Here is a 1,588-nt window from a genome sequence, read left to right as displayed (position 1 = left end):
CCCCGGGGGAAGTTGTGAGTGTATATAGATGTAATGATGATTATAACACCCGGGGGAAGTTGTGAGTGTATATAGATGTAATGATGATTATGACACCGGGGGAAGTTGTGAGTGTATATAGATGTAATGATGATTATGACACCGGGGGAAGTTGTGAGTGTATATAGATGTAATGATGATTATAACACCGGGGGAAGTTGTGAGTGTATATAGATGTAATGATGATTATGACACCGGGGGAAGTTGTGAGTGTATATAGATGTAATGATGATTATAACACCGGGGGAAGTTGTGAGTGTATATAGATGTAATGATGATTATAACACCGGGGGAAGTTGTGAGTGTATATAGATGTAATAATGATTATAACACCGGGGGAAGTTGTGAGTGTATATAGATGTAATGATGATTATAACACCGGGGGAAGTTGTGAGTGTATATAGATGTAATGATGATTATAACACCGGGGGAAGTTGTGAGTGTATATAGATGTAATGATGATTATAACACCGGGGGAAGTTGTGAGTGTATATAGATGTAATGATGATTATAACACCGGGGGAAGTTGTGAGTGTATATAGATGTAATGATGATTATAACACCGGGGGAAGTTGTGAGTGTATATAGATGTAATGATGATTATGACACCGGGGGAAGTTGTGAGTGTATATAGATGTAATGATGATTATAACACCGGGGGAAGTTGTGAGTGTATATAGATGTAATGATGATTATAACACCGGGGGAAGTTGTGAGTGTATATAGATGTAATGATGATTATAACACCGGGGGAAGTTGTGAGTGTATATAGATGTAATGATGATTATAACACCGGGGGAAGTTGTGAGTGTATATAGATGTAATGATGATTATGACACCGGGGGAAGTTGTGAGTGTATATAGATGTAATGATGATTATAACACCGGGGGAAGTTGTGAGTGTATATAGATGTAATGATGATTATGACACCGGGGGAAGTTGTGAGTGTATATAGATGTAATGATGATTATAACACCGGGGGAAGTTGTGAGTGTATATAGATGTAATGATGATTATGACACCGGGAGAAGTTGTGAGTGTATATAGATGTAATGACGATTATGACACCGGGGGAAGTAGTGAGTGTATATAGGTGTAATGACGATTATAACACCGGGGGAAGTAGTGAGTGTATATAGATGTAATGATGATTATGACACCGGGAGAAGTTGTGAGTGTATATAGATGTAATGATGATTATGACACCGGGGGAAGTTGTGAGTGTATATAGATGTAATGATGATTATGACACCGGGGGAAGTAGTGAGTGTATATAGCTGTAATAATGATTATGACACCGGGGGAAGTTGTGAGTGTATATAGATGTAATGATGATTATGACACCGGGGGAAGTTGTGAGTGTATATAGATGTAATGATGATTATGACACCGGGGGAAGTTGTGAGTGTATATAGATGTAATGATGATTATAACACCGGGGGAAGTTGTGAGTGTATATAGATGTAATGATGATTATAACACCGGGGGAAGTTGTGAGTGTATATAGATGTATTGATGATTGTAACACCGGGGGAAGTTGTGAGTGTA

Source organism: Homo sapiens, chromosome 4 (genome assembly GCF_000001405.40).
Source record: "Homo sapiens chromosome 4, GRCh38.p14 Primary Assembly".
Classification (NCBI taxonomy): domain Eukaryota; kingdom Metazoa; phylum Chordata; class Mammalia; order Primates; family Hominidae; genus Homo; species Homo sapiens.
The sequence above is the reverse complement of the archived record's forward strand: the minus strand, read 5'-3'. Positions refer to the sequence as shown.